The sequence below is a fragment of the Homo sapiens genome, chromosome 6, assembly GCF_000001405.40.
Source record: "Homo sapiens chromosome 6, GRCh38.p14 Primary Assembly".
NCBI classification, from domain to species: Eukaryota; Metazoa; Chordata; class Mammalia; order Primates; family Hominidae; genus Homo; species Homo sapiens.
Window position 1 is genome coordinate 131831819 of NC_000006.12, and position 20755 is coordinate 131852573.

The following is a 20755-nucleotide window of genomic DNA, read 5'->3' on the forward strand; positions in this document are numbered from 1 at the left end:
AGATACTCTTTTTTGTCCCTTTCCATACTGTACCTTTGGTAGAGAGTTACATTCCACCTCCTTGATGGTGGAGTATCTGCATAAATTATTTGGAATTCTTCTGAATTGGAAATTTGTTCTCCCCCTTATATTTATTTATTCAGTCTTTTTCAGTATGGAGTCATTAATGTCTATTTTATACTTTGAATTATAACCCAGTACTCTGTTTTTCATGTTTTTGCTTAACTTGTTCCAGCCATGGCCACTTGGCAGTTAATTTCTGTGACCCTTTGACGTGTGTGTGTTTGTAAGTGTTTAGCACTTCCTTACTTTCTGGCCCTACAGGATGTTCCAGGCTTTTAGGTTCTCTTGACTTGTTTTTTTTTTTCCTTACAGATTTCTTAATATTATATAACCATAAAACTAGTGTGTATAATCAAAAGTCAGTTTCTCCACCCTGCAAATTAGGAGTGGACTTACATAAACCTTTGTGCCTGAACTCTGTGCATTTCCCAGAGGTGGGCATCACACCACCCATGCCTCCATTGCACTATATGTGTGGATTAGTTTTCAGACATCTCCCTTTCTCCAATGAAGTGATAAATAACCAGGTTATTCCCTCAGAATGAAGCTGGCCAGATGTGCACTTTACCTTGGGAATGATTTAGGCATAAGATCTGGGAGAAGGAGAAAGGCAAGCATGCTTCCTCAGGTGGGCAGGGAGCCATCTTGGTTTGTGTGACCAACTTGATAAATTCATCTCTGTTCAGCACCTGGTCATCAGCTCTGTAAACTCAAAAATCTCTCATAGTTTTTGGTGTGTCAGGAGTCCACGAAAGGCTTGACTGGACCTGTGTGAATCAGGGTCTTTCATGCAGCTGCAGTTAGATGGTGACTTAGAGTTGGAACAGCAAGGGCTGGGGCATTTAGGGGCTGGCCAGGCATCTTTCTGTCTCTTCTTGCAGTCTTAGGGCCTCCCCATGTGGTCTCTGTGCACGGAATGGTTGGGATTCCTCATAGCATGGTGGCCTCCGTGTAAGGGTAACTGCTTACATGGAGGCTGAAGGCTTTAAGAGCAAGTATTCCAGTGATGGGTCTACATAAGTTTAAAATAATTGGATAGTATTTTATGTTGTTTGGATTTACCAAATTATATTTGCTCCATGATTTATAAACAGAAATTTAGGTTATTTGCAAGTTTTTGCAATTCCAAACACTGCTACAATAAATATCTCTGTGTGCATATCTTTGTGTGCTTATGTGATTATTTCTAGCAGATAATAGAAATGGAATTGCAAGAGTGGTAAATATGCACACTTTGAATTTAGGTAGATTCATTGAAATGACCTTTTAGAAAGGAACTTACACTTCTGTGAAGGCAGTGTGAAAGAATCTATTTCTCCTTATGTGCTTGTCAGAGCTTGTGATTATCAGTCTTTTTAATGTTTGTTCATTTTGTTGGGTAGGAAAGGGACTCATTGATTTGTAGTTCTTTGATTTTTTTTAATGAAAATGAATGTTTTATATTTTTATTAGCTATTTTCTTTAAATAGTTGGTTTATTACTTTTGGTATTTTTAAAAATTGGATTTTTTTTCTACTTGATTTTTATACCCTATTATCTATTGTCATGTACCAAAAATGTCTTATCCTTGTTCCCCCATCCCAATGTGGTGGATTTTTGTTTTTTTGGCTTTACAGGAATTTCCAATTTTTATGAACTCAAATGTATCAACTTTTCCATTATCATTTTTGGATTTTGTGTCATACTTGTAAAGCAAAATTGTAAAAATATTTGCTCATCTTTTCTTCTGGTGATTTTATTTTATACCTTTAAACATTTGCTCCATTTGCCATTGTATTTTGTTATCAGGAAAGAGAGAGAAATTTTGTTTACTAAGCACTTCAAGATCTTTTTTCTCAATAGATTGCTTTTCTTAAGATGCTGAAGTAAATCAGTACAATAGATAAAGACCACAAAAACAGCATTTTGCGACAGTGACAGTCCTACTGAAGACAGGAGACAGTTAAAACCATCAGACCAAGAACAGAGGAGTGGATATTTAATAATTCTATGATTACTTCTGGGGGTTAACTATCTGTGAATCTAAATAGAAGTTCCAGTGGCTGGAGGCTGTATCTGAGGAGGGACCCTTTAGCCTTTTAAAGAGTGATTCTGCTGTGCAGTTGAGGTGTTTTCTGTCACTCTCCTTATTGATGAAATGCTTGTGTCTCAAGATACAATGACGGTCTACAAGTCATGGAGTGAAGGTGAACATGAAAGCTCAATGAAACCATTACTTTATACTATGAGATGGATGTTTTATTCTTTGACCTTTAACTTCAGAGAGAAATGACCTGTGAAAGCACTTGGTGAGATCTTAGTAAAGAAGTGATTTGCCCACTGAGGCAGAAGTTATAGGTGCTGGTTAAATTTTATCTTTTTCTTTGAAAATGTTTGGTACTTATTGAAACAAAAATGAATGAGCATGACAGAAGAGGAGAATAATTGCCCTAGAAATATCAGCTGTCTGGAGGGCTTGCAGAAACCCAGGAAAGATTTCAAATATAAAGGGCCTGCTGCAGGTGAGTTTCTGGCCCCTTTTCTGCTTTGCCTGGGGAAGTAAGGCTCCTGGGCTGGTGTTACAGGAGCATCTCAAGACAAGCTTCTCATTCTAATAGCCTGTGTTCAACCAAGAATCTTATGCATGTACATATTTGAGGTAATAGTCTTTTTTTTTTTTTTTTTTCTGAGATGGAGTCTCACTCTGTCGCCCACGCTGGAGTGCAGTGGCGTGATCTCAGCCCATTGCAACCTCCGCCTCCTGGGTTCAAGCAGTTCTCCTGCCTTAGGCCCCTGAGTTGCTAGGATTACAGGCGTGTGCCACTACGCCCAGCTAATTTTTTTTTTGTATTTTTAGTAGAGACGGGGTTTCACCATTTTAGTAGAGACGGGGTTTCACCATGTTGGCCAGGCTGGTCTCGAACTCCTGACTTCGTGATCTGCCCTCCTTGGCCTCCCAAAGAGCTGGGATTACAGGCGTGAGCCACCGCGCCCAGCTGAGGTAATAGTCTTTAAGAGAAGAGGGTACAGGATGTAGGGTCAGGGGTTATTCAAATAAAGGTATGATTAGTTTCCAGAGAGAAGTAAATTTGTAGACATTTTACATTTATTAGGGACCATAGAAAATATTTAGTCCAACTCTTTTTGTTTATTGATAAAGGGACATAAATAATGTAACTTTCTCAAGATCACAAAGCTCCAAAAGTAATACATGTCTTAATTCAGATATGAAACCATTGAGAGTTACTGGTCTCTTTGTGATTATGGTCACGATTTCACCAAACTTATATTTTTAATTGAATATGGCTGGAATTTTAATGTGTAATTTACTTACAGTTTAAGTGGTAAAATATGAATCATTCCTGCTTTCTTAAGCCAGTCTTTTAATTTGATGTTTCATTTTAACCTTTCCTTCTAAAAAAATTATTTTGTCAATTGTCATTACCAGCTCCCATGAGTTACTGATAGGAGTTTTCTTTGAGTCTGTTCTTCAAATGCTTATTTATCAGGATAATTAATTAAAAAGAGGAATGATGTAATGATTATTTGCTTAAATATCAGGCGTACTAAAATATCTTTTTCTGGATTACTAATTTTAGTTTGGAGAAGAATCTGATAGTTTTATTTTCCCAAGATACTAGTCCAACCAAATCTATACTATGTTTATCTAAAATAATTGTTTATTTTTATTTTTATTATTTTTTTCTTCAACTTCTATTTTAAATTCAGTGGTACATGTGCAGAATGTGCAGGTTTGTTTCATAGGTGAACATGTGCCATGGTGGTTTCCCGTACAGATCATCCCATCACCCAGGTATTAAGCCCAGCATCCATTAGCTATTCTTCCTGATGCTTTCCCTCCCTGCACCCCTGACAGGCCCAGTGTGTGTTGTTCCCCCCTCATGTGTCCATGTGTTCTCATCATTTAAAGTAATTGTTTTGAGCTGCAATTTTCTATTACCAGTGACTCCTAACATTATATTAGATTTAGGGGATTGTGTTCTCTTTCATGTACATCATATCATACTTGAAAATTAAAAAAATATACTTGTGATTATCTTAATTTTTCATTTAAAGAAAGGTTAAAGGCCCAGATCCCCTAAGTGACATATGGGCACCACTTAAGGATTTCCATTTCGTGTCGTAATCGTAAAACTTCTCAACCTTCTCTGACTTTATTTCTCTTGTCTTCTGTTCTTTTAAAAGAAAGATGTGACAGAAAGCACAAAAGATCCCCAAAAAGAGTGTGTGGTTTTCTTTTTTTTTTTTGAGATGGAGTTTTGTTCTTGCTGCCCAGGCTGGAGTGCAATGGAGTGATCTCAGTTTACTGCAACCTCTGCCTCCTGGGTTCAAGCGATTCTCCTGCCTCAGCCTCCCTAGTAGCTGGGATTACAGGCACCCACTGCCATGCCTGGCTAATTTTTTGTATTTTTAGTAGAGACAGGGTTTCACCATGTTGGTCAGGCTGGTCTTGAACTCCTGACCTCAGGTGATCTGCCCGCCTCAGCCTCCCAAAGTGCTGGGATTACATGTGTGAGTCACCACACCCAGCCGAGTGTGTGTGTGTGTGTGTGTGTTTTAATGAATACTGTTCTCTTTATTCACAGTTAGCATCCACTTAGACAAAATCTTATTGTTCTCTTTATTCACAATTAGAATCCACTTAGATAAAATCTATTAAACTCAGCCTGCTACTGATTTTCCCCACTTACCAAATAATAGAAGAACTTGGCGTTTTTTTAAATGCACGAGATTCATGACACTGACACAAATTAGAAGCAAGTACTGTTTGACATGATGGCATACGTCCAGCAATTTCATTAATCATTATTGTAAAAAAATGGGTTGATGGTGGATTCTTGGAAAGTCAAACAAAATTGCTGTGATAAGTCTTTGAAGCATGTTTTTGTGGACTCCTGTCTTAACATTACTCATTTTAAAGCCAATATTCTTCCTTTTATGTTTATGGAAAGTGCGGTACTGGCATCCATAGGGCAGAGATTGTTTTTATCCATAGAAGCAGGAATCCCTTTTTAGGGAAAGTGCTTGTGACCTTAGCTTGCTTAGAGCTCATGCAGAGAGGTCCTAGACGTGCTTTAGCAGCTGGGCTTGAGCAGGTAGTGACAAGTACTACCTTATGTGTGGATCTGTGCAGAGGCAAAGGAAACCAGTAGGGTTCCCCTCTGTTATGTTGCCATTAGCCTACTGATTGCTTCTTGTCAATCTTTACAAGCAGTGGTTTGGTAATAAATGACCTTGTCCACCAAGAACAAGAGTGAGTTTTCTAGCTTATTTGGGGTTCCTGTTGTCATTGTGTGTGTGTGTGTGTGTGTGTGTGTGTGTGTGTGTGTGTAGTTTGATAAATTACTTAAAAGTTTATAAAGGCCAGACACGATGGCTCATGCCTGTAATCCCAGCACTTTGGGAGGCCAAGGCGGGCAGATCACCTGAGGTCAGGAGTTTGAGACCATCCTGGCCAACATGGTGAAACCCCGTCTCTACTAAAAATACAAAACTTAGCCGGGTGTGGTGGCGCATGCCTGTAGTCCCAGCCACTCGGGAGGCTGAAGCAGGAGAATCGTTTGAACCTGGGAGGCGGAGGTTGCAGTGAGCTCTCATCACTGTACTCCAGCCTGGGTGACAGTGTGAGACTCTGTCTCAAAAAAAAAAAAAAAAAAAAAAACCCAACCAGCCAACCAAACAAACAAACCAAAGTTTATAAAATAACTCTTCCATTACTTCTTTACTACTTCCCCTTCCTTCTATCATTGTCATTTTCAACCTATGCCAGCTGTAAGTTGATAGGTATTCCTATAATGATTTCTGTGAATCTTGAAACCTGTTAATGAGATAATAAATATTACTATTCCCATAATTGCCAAGCTGACATAATTATGAGGATGTAGGGCATTCTGCTCTAAGACAATTATCATAGTAGATGTTCCCAGGCATCACATAGGCAGGCATTAATATTTAATCTTTAGTGTCTTCTACCATGTCTCTTTTGCTCTTAAATCATTGAGTTAATTTTATTCATTTTATTTTTCATTTCTAGAAATTTTATTTTTTTACTTTCTAGATCTTTTTTAAAATAATATACTGTTTTCTGTTACTATTATCTATCTTGCCTTATTTCTTATTTTGAACAGTATTTGAATAAATGACAATTCAAGAACTCATGAAAGACACCAATCTTTAGATTCAGGTAGCTTATTGAATCTTAAGTAGAATAGATAAAATAAATATATGTTGACAACAGAATAACATTGTAGAACACAAAGTTGAAAATAAAAAAGTTTAAAGCTATTAGAGAAAATAAGACAGATTCACTTCAAAAGGATGATAGTCTGATGACTGGATTCTCAGTGGTGATGATTAAAGCATAAGGTAGTGTAATGATATCATCACTGTGCCAAAAGAAAATAATTGCCAAACTGGAATTTGCATATCCAGTAGAAATATCTTTCAAAAACAAGAATAAACCAAAGACATGTGCAGACTAACGAATACTGAGAGAGTCTGCTATCAGGAAGAATCTAAAAGATGTACTTTAGGCTGATGATTCCAGATGAAAGCTGAGAAGAAAAAATGCATAAAGAAAGTGGTAAATATTTGGTAAGTTTAAATGAACTTATAAAACAATGATGTCTAAAGGGGTTTACAAGTTAGATAGTAATATTAAAAGAAAAGTCTGAAAAGCTATAATCTAAGCATCCATATTAACAGTAAGAAAAAAAAAAACCCGAAACCCAGAACATTAAGCCTAGATATGGAAGGAAAGAAAAATAAGAGTAAGACCAGAAATTAATAAAATAACAATAAGCATACAAAAGAAAAGATAAGATTACTCCTGGTTAGCCTGATTAAGTAAAAAACAGACAAAAAAGGGTGGCAGTACAAATCATATCAAGAATGAAAAAGAACACAAATAGAGATGCTGCAGGCATTGAAAGTATAACAAAGGGTTATTATAAACAACTTTATAACCATATGTTTGAAAAGGTAGGTGAAATGAAAAATTACAAGAAAAAATACAACTTATCAAAATTACTCAAGAACAATTAGAAAATCTAAGTAATTCTCTAGCCCATGAAGAGATTGAACCACAAATTAATAAACTTCTTACACAGATTTTTCTAGGCCCAGATATGTTCTCCACTGAGTTCTTCTAAACCTCCAAGGAGAAACGAACTCTAATCTTACCATCCTTACAGCCTAGTTTATGAAGTTAGCATGGCCTTTCACTTGAAGATCTTTTTACTGTCGTTGTCCTGGAATTTTGCAGTGATGTGAATCGGTATGAGCCTTCTTCTATGATTTATTATTTTGGATACTTGATATTAGGACTCTTTGATGTGAAGTTTTGTATATGTCTTTTTGAATCCCATTGAATATACTTAATAAGATGTCTTTTTATTTCTATTTTTTTTTTCTATTCCCCTCTCCCCTTTACCATTCTGTGTTGATCTTAGACTTTTGTCTTAGGCTTACCTCCAATGACTGGTGAATCATGGTGGTTCATTTATATTTAAGGATGAGAGATTAGGTAGATTTCATGGAGCTTTGAGTATTCAGGCAGAATTTGTTTATTGAAGTTTGCTTAAGGTAAATAGGCAGAGAAGGAGCTTACTGTTATGCTGAGAACCCCTAAAATGCCAGAATGAGGAAGAGTTTACTCTGGGTCACTAATACCCACATTAGTCCTGTGGTTGTCCTGTGTACTGATTCCAAAAGTACATGGGTCCATTGGAGAAACTTTGGAAAATAAATATAAACACTAAGAAGATGACAAAATAACTTGTAAGCCCATCCATCAAGTGTAGATTTATGTATAACCAAAAATTGGGACCATATTACCCATTCTGTTTTATCATCTGTTCTTTATACCCAATAATGTGTCATTTTTCCATGTCAATTAAATATTCTTCTAAATCATGGCTGTATAACAGTTATATACAGCCATATATACAGTTATATACAGTTATATACAGTTATATACAGAAGGCTGTATAACAGTTATATAAATGGTCTATATTTCTTTAGCTATTTTCCTACTCTTGGACATTATGTGTATGTCTATTTTTTCTTATACATAGTACTGTAATGTATATATTTACATCTAAATATTTGTACATACTTTCTTAACCTTAGTATAAACTCCCAGAAGTGCAAATAATATAGATGTTTTATGGCATTTGTTTTAGGATTTTTCACAGCTACTTGTACCCAAAATGCTTGAATCAGTCTAGGGCTGCAATATATTAAAAGTGCAGATAGATATGAATCTGTAGAAATCTCTAATATATTAATACAAATTGGTGTTTACATGGATTCCCTTTTCAGTAGCATGGGCTGGAAGGCCACTGTATACCTATAACTAAAATGTCTAGTGCCATCATTTCCTGCAAAATAATTTGTTGTATTTCTTCTCAGATTCCTTGCTCCTGCATGGTCTTCAGCTACTGTTGAAAACAGATTACTGTAGAACTAAAACAAAAAAAGGAAAAATGTTAATGCACTGGTTTATGGCATTTAAGAAAATAGGAACTAGGCTGTCGTACAGTTGACAAACATTGGTAAAGTTGTACTATCCCTTTGGAAGAATCCGTAGTGGGCCCAGTCCTTTCAGTGATTGGATACTTCTAGTAGGAACTACCATTTATTCAGTAACCCTATGCCCTCGTCACCAATCTAGGCATGTTTTGTACATTCCGCCGAAGGCTCCTGCCAACTTTGTGAGGTGGGTATTATCACCACGTCATAGATTTAAAAATGAGGCTTAGTGAGGATTTGAAACATTCCCTACTTTCACAGCTGCTGGTTGTCTAGAAGTCAGAAGAATGCAAGCCGCCTGAGACCACTGCAGTTGTTTTGTGCACAGGTGTCTCTCCCGCACTAGGTCAGTGCTTGAGATGTAGTAGGATCTCAAGAAATATTTGTTCAATGCTGAATAATGAATTGAAAGGTGGAATTTGAACCAAAGTCATTTTGAACTTGAAGCTCTTTCTACCAGGCAGGTGTCAATTTCTTTAGTTTTAGTGTTTCACTGAGAGATTGTGAGATTTGTCCCTATGTGATGTGCTTGTTCAGTGCTGGATGTCCCTTTTCCTGATTTTCATGTGACTAGTTATGTAAAGGGCTTCACATCAAGTTTCACTGCAGTTTCAGAGGATCTTCTTCAGATAAATCTAGCGTAACTAAAATGATACTGAGTGCATAAGAGACCAAGCATGCATGAACAACTGCTTGAGTGGACTTAGGAACTTTTTTTAGAAGAGATTCTAACTTCTGCTTTGAGCTTTTGTAATGCTCCAAAGTTCTTCAGGAATGTGTTGTCTTTGAATCTCCCTTTGAATATCTTGTAGAAGTTTCTTGGCACTGGATTTACTCAATAGGATCGAATCCCCATCCTCCAGCAAACGAAATCCCGTGAAGACTCCCAGCACCAGGCTGGTCTGAATCCTCACAGTTCTTTTTCAGAAAGCATGCAACTTTGGTCAAAGATCAGAGGACTGATAGGCAATGTAGTCAGCTGATTCATTTCAAATGGCACTTTCATACCGTCTGACACATTGGAATACCACATCCAGCAATCTACCATTTCCTAAACAAAATTTTGTGTGTATATTTGTTGTAGGTATCTTTTATGTAATGCAGACACAATGTCACTTAACAAACTGACTCTGTCAGCTTAGATGAGGAAAATTAGGGGATTTATGGTTTCTCCCCATTTATGTTTAATTAAATCACAGCTTGCTGATGTTCAGCTTAACGATTATTTGTTGAATGTTTACTTTGTGCAAGGCACCATGCTAGATGTGGAAAACACAGGGTTGAATAAATAAATCCATGCCTCTCGGGAACTCACAGTCTAGTCAGAGACAGACAAATCTTATGGAGCATGGTAAGAGCTGCAGTAACTAGGGGTGAGGGAAGACCTAGAGAAACATGGTGCTAGCATCTCCTCGGTGAGGAGGGTCTAGCAAGTCCAAGACCTCATTTCCCACCGGACTCATAACATAGCCTTCCACAATGATCCCAAGGGATCGTTCTGGGATTATTAAATCCAGTCCTGTCACTTTCATATTTCAGCGCCTGAACACACTCCACTGACCGCCCGCAGGCTGCCTCAGGACCCATTTGTTCCCTCCCTTTTCCCTCCAGCCCCTTCCCTTCCCACTCCTACCTGCCTCCTTTACACTCTGCCTGCCTAGGTTCAAATCTTGCTGTGGATGCTTATCAACCCCCGGTCCTTGGCAAGTTACTAACCTCTGTAGCTCACCTTCCTTAAACTGTGTTAATCGTAATCTGTCTTGTGATGTTATAGTTTGGATTAAATGATTTAATATAAAACTCTTAGAAAAGTGCCCGGCACGTAGGAATTACTAGAGAAGTGACAGCCATGATTGTTGTTGTTATTTTCTCCTTCCCAGGCTGGTGTTGTCTTTCCTACCTCTGTGGCTTTGCATGAAGCACCATGGCGTATATATGGTCACCACTATGTCATTTCTTAGGTTGCTTCTAACTATGTCATATCTTTATCATCAGCCTATGGCATCATTCCAGAGTTGTTGTTGCCTTTATTAGATTTATAAACTCTGACATTAGGACTTCACTGCAAATTATTTTTTTTTTTTGTATTTCCCCACAGAATCTAAATACATTGCATCTTGCAGATACTCAAACCTTTGTTTACTGACAGAGGGAGAGGTCCCTTTTTCTCCAAATCTCTCTTTGTAAAGCCTTTTGAAACCCTTTTCTTCTTTTCTGCTCTCCACTGTGTTGTTAGTATGTTAGCATTTTTTACATGTTTCTACTGAAGTCCATTGCAATCATTCGTTCTAATGCTTCCCCCGGCCAACTTCCTTTGTTTCTCTGTAAGGGTAGGAGTTGTTTTATTTGTATCTCTGGTCTTTAGTACAGGGACTGCACATTGTGGACACTCGTATTTCAATGAATGCCTGATACAGAAAGAATAATACACATGATATTAATGCCATTGTATTTGAGGGAATTGGTGAGGGAAAAAAATTTTTTTTTTAGTATTTCTTTTGACTCACTAAATGTCTAAGAACTAATGATTTAGTTAACTAAAGAAGCAGGAAACTCCAAATATTCCAAAAACTTTGCTTTTACTTTCTGTCTCCCAGTTTCTTGTTTTCTAAGATAAGATGTATTTCTATGGTTTCTTAGAAAATATTAAAATTTGAAAAATACCTAAATTGTTATGGAGATTAAAATGGATGGTAGATTATGATATTGATGAGTTAAACTGCTTTGACAGGAAAATTCAAACTAAATTAGGTTTCACAGCTCTGAAAATTATTGAAGGGGAATTTCCTACTAAAAATCATTCTGATTAGGTGTTTTGTAACAAAGTAGTAGATATTCTAAATTTCATCTTTTATGGATGTGACTGTCAATGAGAAATGATCATTTCTATTGTCATACTTTTGTTTCAGTTCTATGCTATGCCTCATCTTATAAAAGGTAAATCAAGAACTTCTTTTTAATAATGAAGAGGTGATTTTTAAAAGTCAGCATGTGTCTTCAGCTACTTAACAAGAGGATAAAGAGCTATATATAAACCATGTGTATTTTAAACCAATGGTTACCATTTAAATGCTTGCTTACCACCTAGTCTTTCCATAGTAGTTTTCCTGTCCATCTAGTTCTTCTACTCATATACTCATATCCAATTTGTCCTGCCCCTTTCAGCCATTCCACCCATGCCTTAATTCTCTTATCCCCTTTTGTATTCTGTTTTCCCCACCTTTCCCTCTCCCAGGGCATGTCGTCTTTTTTTTTTTTTTCCCCCATTTTCCCACTTCCACTCTTAGAATTTCAGGCCATTCAAGTTTGTTATATTCCATGATTTCAGATTAAGCTGGGCTCCCAGAGCTGGAGGGTCTTTTTACTCTTCCCTCGTTGACAGTCTTTGTTGTCGCCACTGGTTTGTTGCCATCTTTCACATGGGATGCCCTAAGCCCTCTCTATTCCTTCCACACTCCCACCCAGATGCTTCTTACTTGGCCAAGAAGATTGAAGAGGTTCCTCATCAGCTGTTTCTAGCTTCCTGTTGCTATACCTTAGTTTGTTTTGTGTGTGTATGTGGTGTTTTTGTGTGTGTGTGTATATCTTCCTCTCAGCCTTCTGACATGCCTATCTCTGAGCCTAACCCTCTGAGAGTATTTTATTGTATAAGTAAAATATGACTTGTTCAACCAGCTTCCTTAAAATGAGCTTAGGTTGTTCCTAGTTTTTTTGTTCATTTGTTTTATGAATACAGTTTTGAAATAAACACCTTGGACAACTATTTTGGCCACTTGTGAGAGTACAGTTAGTACTAGCTTTGCATGATTCTCTGACATGCACAAATTTCAGTTACCACAGTTTAATTAAATAAAACCAGCTCCCAACAACATAGTTCAAATTTCATTTACCAAGATATATTAACTGTGAGTAATTGCGTAAAGTACAAACTTTGCTGCTAGCTCATCAGTCCACAAATCACTGTGCAAATAGCAAGTGCAAGTTATGGTCAGTGACCAATTGCATCATTTCTTTCAAAATCTGCCAGTGATTAGCCCATAGGCATCTTTTAGTCAGTTCATGCACAGACAGCAAAAGCATGTAGTTGTGTTGTTGCTTTGCCTCTCAGAGGTAAACCTATATGACGTTTTCAAAAAGTGGATAATTGAAAAAGTGAATGAACTGATGAAGAATGAAAGTAAAGAAAAGAAAGGAGGTAATAATGCTGGAAGTGAAATTGAAGTCAAAGTAAATGGAGTTATGGAAGAAACAGCTAACCGTGGGAATGCTAACACTGCCATGGTGCAATAGACTCCAGATATGAAGCCAGAGGAGTCTAGTGAAGCTGAATTTTTTGACATAAATGAGGAGAGTGGTTGTGAGAAAAAGAATGAAGATATCCCAGAGGGAGTGACACTGCCACAAAACTTCCTCTTGGAGACATTTCATAATGTTGAAGGTGCAAAGCTTATGTGAAAACATTGGAAACTGATCTAAACTTAGAAAGGAATATGGAATATGACAATTCTCCAAGGCACAGAAAATATTCTCACTCTGTATTGTGAGTTATGTGATAGATGAGAAGAAGGTAAGTACTGTTTGGACTATTCTAGATAAGTTTACAGATAAATACAATTTCAATTCTTCATGGTTTTTTTTTTTTTTTTTTTTTTTTTTTTTCCTTGAGACAGAGTTTCACTGTGTCGCCCAGGCTGGAGTGCAGTGGTGCGATCTTGGCTCACTGCAACCTCTGCCTCAGCCTCCCAAGTAGCTGGGATTACAGGAGCCTACCACTGCACCTGGCTAATTTTTGTATTTTTGGTAGAGACGGGGTTTCACCATCTTGGCCAGGCTGGTCTTTAACTCCTGACCTCGTGATCCACCTGCCTTGGCCTCCCAGCGTGCTGGGATTATAGGCATGAGCCACCGTGCCTGGCCAATTCTTCATGTTTTTAATGTTTTAAATTATAATACACTAAATATAGATGTTTTACTATGTTTTATTTTCTTATACATTTATAATTGACAGTAAAACAGTTTTTGTTGTTGTTTTGGCTTGTTTTTTTTTTTTTTTTTAATTTTTTTTGAGCATCTTGCTCTGTCGCCCAGGCTGGAGTGCAGTGGTGCGATCTGTGCTCACTGCAACCTCCGCCTCCCGGGTTCAAGCGATTCTCCTGTCTAAGCGCCCCCGAGCAGCAGGGATTATAGGCGTGCATCACCATGCTGGGCTAATTTTTTGTATTTTTAGTAGAGATGGGGTTTCACCATGTTGACCAGGCTGGTCTCAAACTCCTGGCCTGAAGTGATCCCCCCACCTCAGCCTCTCAAAGTGCCTGGCCGTTTGTGATGTTTTTGATAGATATTTTTAGAGATTATCTTTCCATATAGTTGTGTCAGTTTACACCACCATCAGAAGTTTAGGAGAATCCATTACTATTCTCTTCTGATACCTTGTTCTGCTTATTTGCCCTTGTTGACTTGCTCAAGCTCTTCCTCTGATACCTCCTTATTTTAAGGAATATACACACACACACAAAGAAAAACACATGTTTTTGCATCCTTAAAGAAGGCTAACCTTTTGCTTTCTTTGCAAAAACTCTTCCTTTCTTTTATCCATTTTATTTTGAAGTAAGTAAGACCTGCTGCCTCACTTTCCTTACCATTCACTTCCTCTTAAGTCTTTGCAGTCACTTGACAGTAGGCACCTCGAGAGCAGAGGTCATGTCTGTTTTATTACTGAATGTCCAGTACATAGTCCGTACTCAATACTCTTCATCTGAAGGAATGAATTCTTATAAAAGCCTCCACCAACCATCTACTTGGTCCTATTCACCCATTCCTCCTGTCTCTATTATCTCTTCACCTTAGCTTTCCGGAAATACTACACCATCTTTCCATACCTCCACCCATTGTCCATTCCCGTTTGCATTTTCTTGGTTTCAGCTAAGATAGGCTGTTCATTATTTATCTGCCACCTTCCATGTGCCTGCCTTCGTGGAACCCTTCTTTATGCTGCCCTTTCTCCTAGAAGTTTGCTGTGTTCTGTCCTCTCTTTCCTTCCTCCAGTTCCACCTGGCAACATCACGCCATCATTTCCCCCCCATTCAGAGCCATGCCAAAAGCTTGCTCTAGGAAACTCTTTCTGATCTCCCTCTCCCTAACCACCCCAACCTTTCTCCTTCTTTAAACAACTGTAGAACTTTGCAGGCGGTTTGTAGGGCCTACCAAATATGGGCCACTGATGTGCTGTTTTTAACTTCTCCTACCCAAGTAGAAACCCCTTGAGCTATCTCTTATTTTTTCCTTCAGTGTATAACAGTCTTTGCGCATCATTGGTACTCAATTAATATTTTATTGAGGTGCCCTGTAATCTGACATTCCAGGGAGCTTTCAAGGAAACTTTGTCACACTAAAAAAAATTGAGGATTGTTTTGTGGGTTATTCCGCTCCTTTGTCTTCTAACTCACAGAAGTTCTGTCATGGTTCTTAGGGGTTGTAGGGTGTGTCCACTTATTTTAAAATGTCAAAGACCAGAAGAGTGGAGAATGGGAAAGTGGCAAAGTGTTAGCACTGGAAAGATGTTTAGAGATCACGTAGTCCAACCCTTAAATTTTATAGATGAATAAACTGGTATCTAGAAAGCTTAAGTGACCTGCCTGAAATCACACAACTAGTTTGTGGTAACACTTGGTCCAGGAGGTTGTCAGCTGACCCTCTTCAGGGCTCGTTCCCACAAGGTACCACAGTACATGTGAGGATGTTAGGTTTGGGTTTGTGTAGAACTGTTAAAAGAGGCATATAATATTCCACATATTGCCTTTAATGGATTGATACATAGGAAATCCAGACTCTGTAAATAGTTTTCTCTCTCTTTCCCTTAATAATTATAATTTTTATGACTAATTCATTTATACTAACTAGGAGAGTTTCTAATTACATTAACATTGGATGGTATAGAATGGTTGGTTGACATTTGAGTAAACTTTTTATTAAAGTATAAAATACAGAAATGTATACAAATCACAAGTGTATAGTTGGAATTTTCAAAAAGTGAACACATCTACGTGACTAGCCCCAGACTGGAAAAAAGAACAGCACCAAAAAGTTTAGAAACATTTAAAGCAATAAAACATTTGGAGAAATAAAAGGATTTTAAAACTATATAAGGCCAGGCCTAGTGGCTCTTGCCTATAATCCCCCCACTTTGGGAGGCTGAGGCAGGAGGATCCCTTGATGCCAGGATTTCGAGGTTACAGTGAACTATGATCATGCCACTGTACCCTAGCCTGGGTAACAGAGTAAGACACTATCTCTAAAAATAAAAAATAAGATAAAATATTTTTTAAAAAAGAAACCATGTAATTTTCTCTTTTCTCCCTACAGGTATTGTCAGTATGTGTGTTAACAACAATACTTGGTTGTATATTTGGGTTGAAACCAAGCTGTGCCAAAGAAGGTAATTAGGTGTGTGTGTGTGTGTGTGTGTGTGTGTGTGTGTGTGTATGTGTGTGCACAGCCTTATTAAGAATGTGATTGAGGTAAACATTATCTCCTATTCCTATGGGTACTCCATAGATATTGTCAATTCAACGCTGGCTTGAGCCTTTTTCCTGAAGTTCTTGTATTATATTAGTCATATAAAGTTCTACTTACAAAACATGGCCGGGGGTTCTGATGCTGTTGTCCTGGAGCCCATGCTCCCTGACTTCCTCCAGGGACTCAGAGGACATTCTTTACTGCTCTTTTACCCTAAGGAGTTAGTTGCTGAAGCAACCCTGTAGGTTACTAGGTGACAGTTACCATCCCTGGGCAACCAGAAACCTGTCAGTATGTGCTCTTAAGGTTCTAAAATTGCAGACATTGGTTGTTTCAAAGCCACAATGATATTTTTTTAAACTTCTAGATATATTTTTCTTTCCATCAATTGCAGAAATCTATCCAGCATTGACAAGATTATAATAAATAATTAAACTGGATCACAGTAAATCGTAGTGGTTATTATCTTGTCTTTGAGGTAGTTCCCCCCCCATCCTCTCGCAATAAAATCATTGATGGTCATTCTAGAGAATTCAGCTTTGAAAATTGAACAGGTTCTTCTGTTTGGCTATTCTGTGATTGTAATATTAATTATTTAAAAAATTTTTAGTGATTATTAAGCTATCATGTACTGTTGAAAAGTAGTAATTTTATGTATCAGTAAACTATTCAGAACACATGTATCTAAGTTTAACTGAAGTAAACAGTTACAGACTTTAGTGTTTACCTATGTCATCTTTTAGCATGAAGTGATTCACTCCTGAGTTGACACATACAAATTAAAAATGAAAAATAACAATTTTAATCCAAGCCCAACATAGTATGCATCATATTTTTAAAAATTATTAGGTGCATATTAATGAGCTCCAAGTAATAGCTATTATTCCAATAGACTTCCCTGACCCCCACTCCAGGTCAGGAAAGTTCGTATTTCTGACACTAGAAATTATTATTGTTACTTCATCTTCTTAAAATTGCCTGATTTCCCAGTGTCAAATGAGAGGTAAATTCCATGGCAGTGTCTTTTTGGGTCAGAACACCATTAAAGTCAAGAACTAAGATTATTTCTTTTTTGTTGTTGTTGGATGTCCCTTATTTTCCATGTGTTCCTTTTTTTCTTTTTTTCTCATTGTCCTAATTTTCTAGCTCTCCAGTGAAACCTGGCTTATTCAAGGTATCTAGTAATGAACTTCAACAGTAAAAAACTGTCATGAAAAGTACTTTCCTCCCATGTCTACCATTTATTCATTTAGCAAAAATGTGCTAATCTCAACTATATGGCATGCACCTGGCTGGGTTTTAGGGAGACAGTATGCTGGGCAAAGCCAGATGTGGTCTTGGTTTGCCGTCTAACTGGGATATTAACCAAATAACCTAGTTACGTGTGGAATTAAGTAATTGAGGGGAAGGACAAGGTTTTATATGAGCTTAAAAAAATGGAAATCAGGCCTAGCTGGGGAGTTAGGAAAGCTTTTTAGAGGGAGCCAGTCTGGATCTAAAGGTGAAATGGGTGTTTCAGGTCAGGGAGGGAAGAGCTATGCCAGGGAGCATGTTCTGAACAAACCCACTACTTCTTTACACCAGGATTGAGAGTGAGGCAGGCTAGGTAATCTTTTCCTTTCTAAAATATTCTTAACCACTTCTAAAAAAAATTTTTCCCACATTTTGAAATTTTAGGGAACCCCATGCCTGCTTAAGCCAACTTTTTCATAGCACAAAGTATTCAGAACAAGCCTTTATTCTGACTTTTATTTTATCACACCATGGTTATTTAAGTCTTATCAGACCCAGTAACGTTTGTAATAATAATCATTAAAAAGTTATCTTTCTTTCCTACATCAGGAGATAAAAATCACAAACCAGGCACATAAGGTTACTTTCTGTTTGTATCACTTTTTGTGTGTATTTGTGAAAAGATTTTTGCCTTACTTTATTACCCCATCTGTATTTTCTAAAGTAGTATTTGAACCTAGTGTACACCTAACTTAGTTGTATTCGTTGATGTTTACTTTGAATTATATAATGATTAGAAACATCTGACTTATCGTTCAATTTTTTCAGTTAAAAGTTGCAAAGGTCGCTGTTTCGAGAGAACATTTGGGAACTGTCGCTGTGATGCTGCCTGTGTTGAGCTTGGAAACTGCTGTTTAGATTACCAGGAGACGTGCATAGAACCAGGTAAGGATGAGCAGGGAAAAAAGTGGAGTTATGGTCATTAGGAAAAGATCAAGGAAAGTTCTGTGTCTTTCAGGTATGTGATTTACCTAATTCATTTGAATTTTTTTTAGTTTAGCATACATACACGTTTTGACATTAGCTTTTATATTTTCTTTCAACAGTTCCTTAAGAGAAAAAAATTTACAGAATTTCTCTGTTAAACATTTTATGGATAGCAGAACTTTGTCTATTTTTAATGTATGCTGAAAGCCTTTGTAATCTAATTTGCATTCAAATTCTAAAAGCCTGCTTGAAATATAGAAATATTTTCATTATGGTTCTTTGACGGCAAGAGATCTTATATGTCCACCTATATTTTTCAAAATAAAACTATCAGAATATGAAAATTTTCTTAGTTAGATTTGGAATTCTCTGCATATGACATGGAATAATTTTTAAATGAGAGAGATTTATTTATTTTTCATTAGTATTTATTTTTTAAAGACAGGGACTTGTTCTGTCACCCAGGCTGGAGAGCCGTTGCTCGACCATGGCTCGTTGCAACCTTGAACTCCTGGGCTCAAGAGATCCTCCTGCCTCAGCCTCCCAAGTAGCTGGAACTACAGGCTCACACCATTATGCCCAGCTAATTTTTAAAATGTTTGTAGAGATGAGGTCTCACTACATTGCCCAGGTTGATCCCAAACTCCTGGCCTCAAGCAATCCTCTCACCTTGACCTGAGAGTCAGACTTAGATTAAATTTTAGCAGGTAGAAGAAGCCAGGTCTACATATGAATTGCATATGGTAAGGTGCATCTAAATTTGAAAATGACAAAATTCTGGACTTTTAGTGAAATAATAATAATTGGTTCCTACATATTTTACCCCATTAGTTCAGAGTGGCCATGGTAGTGGCAGATTCTGTGAGTGACTAAGAGCTGTGAAATTGTTCATTGTTGCTCATGGATCATACTCAGGAAGACAGCAATTCTGTGTTCACTTTGGACATGTTGAATTTGAGACATAAAACACATTTTGCTGATGTTTGTTTCTAGAACATATATGGACTTGCAACAAATTCAGGTGTGGTGAGAAAAGGTTGACCAGAAGCCTCTGTGCCTGTTCAGATGACTGCAAGGACAAGGGCGACTGCTGCATCAACTACAGTTCTGTGTGTCAAGGTCAGGTGCTCGTTGGGCTCTGCAGCAGCCTGGTATCTTCCAGCGTCTTAGCGGGGCTTTACATAGGTGTTATCTTTTATATTAGGAGTCATGGCTATTGGCCAACTATATTAGCTGAAAAAAATAATTTTAAAACTTTTTATTAAAGAAACTTTTAAACATACACATGGGGAGAGAGAGTATGTAATGAACATTATACCCATCACCCAGCTTCATAATTATGATTATGTGCACACGGCCAATAATATTTTATCTATAACCACTCATTCCCCTGCCACCACCCTCTCATGTTATTTTGATAATAGCAGCACACTTGATGTTGTATTTGTGGAAAGATCCCTCTTACAGTCCTGGCTGACTTTTATGTCCCGGCTTCCCTCCTAGTAAATGGGGACACTGTCTGCTGTGCATTGAGAGAGTCGATGTGAAATTGTTTAGAAAGATTCGAGGGCATTTTGTAAGGTGATACTATTATGATGTCTTGTCCAGGTATTATTATTATTTTTTTTTCAAATTTCTTGACAGAACCTGACTCTATATGAGAGAGAACTAAGACACCAAAATACCAAGGATTTTGATGAGTGGATAGAAGGGGAGGGTTGTAAATTTTGGCTGAAAATATTAAGAATTTGAAAATGGAAAAGATACCTTCAAGTTCTCACAAATACAGTAGTATGTTTTAGTCTTACAATTGTGCATCCATTTTTAATTCCTGATATCAACTAACTCTTATTTTGAAGCACAATAATTCTCTTTATTGATTATACACCTCCAGAGTCATGTCCTGTGTTATCTATCAATCTGTTCACATACTTTGTTTTTGGAATCTGTCTTAATGTGTCTCACAAGCATCACAATTATTATTACTGTTAAGTGTGTTCATTTTATTTTCTTGAAAATATTTTAGGTGAGAAAAGTTGGGTAGAAGAACCATGTGAGAGCATTAATGAGCCACAGTGCCCAGCAGGGTAAGATTATATTCTGAGGTATTAATTTTTTCTTTTTTAGAAGTACAGCATCATTTTTTTCTTTCCAAATTAAGATGATAAAAATAATAAAATCACTGGTTTATTAAACATTACAGGTTGAGTATCCTTTATCCAAAATGTTTGGTATGAGAACTGTTTTGGATTTTGGACTTTTTTGGATTTTGCAATATTTGAGTTATACCAGTTTGGGCATCTCAAATCTGAAAATCCCAAATGCTCCAGTGAGCATTTCCTTTGAGCATCATGTCAGTGCTCAAAAGTTTTGGATTTTGAAGCATTTGAGATGTCAGATTTTCAGATTTGGGATGCCCAACCTG

At 37.3% G+C, this 20755-nt stretch overlaps 1 protein-coding gene across 1 annotated transcript in view; it reads left to right on the forward strand.

Moving 5' to 3' along the window:
* The window catches only part of ENPP1 (ectonucleotide pyrophosphatase/phosphodiesterase 1), an 87136-nt gene that overhangs the window by 23799 nt on the left and 42582 nt on the right, over window positions 1-20755 (forward strand). The window contains exons 2-5 of the mRNA NM_006208.3: window positions 15958-16030; window positions 18172-18288; window positions 19324-19449; window positions 20357-20417. Coding sequence (NP_006199.2) covers window positions 15958-16030; window positions 18172-18288; window positions 19324-19449; window positions 20357-20417 — 377 coding nt within the window. The remainder of the gene's footprint in view (window positions 1-15957; window positions 16031-18171; window positions 18289-19323; window positions 19450-20356; window positions 20418-20755) is intronic.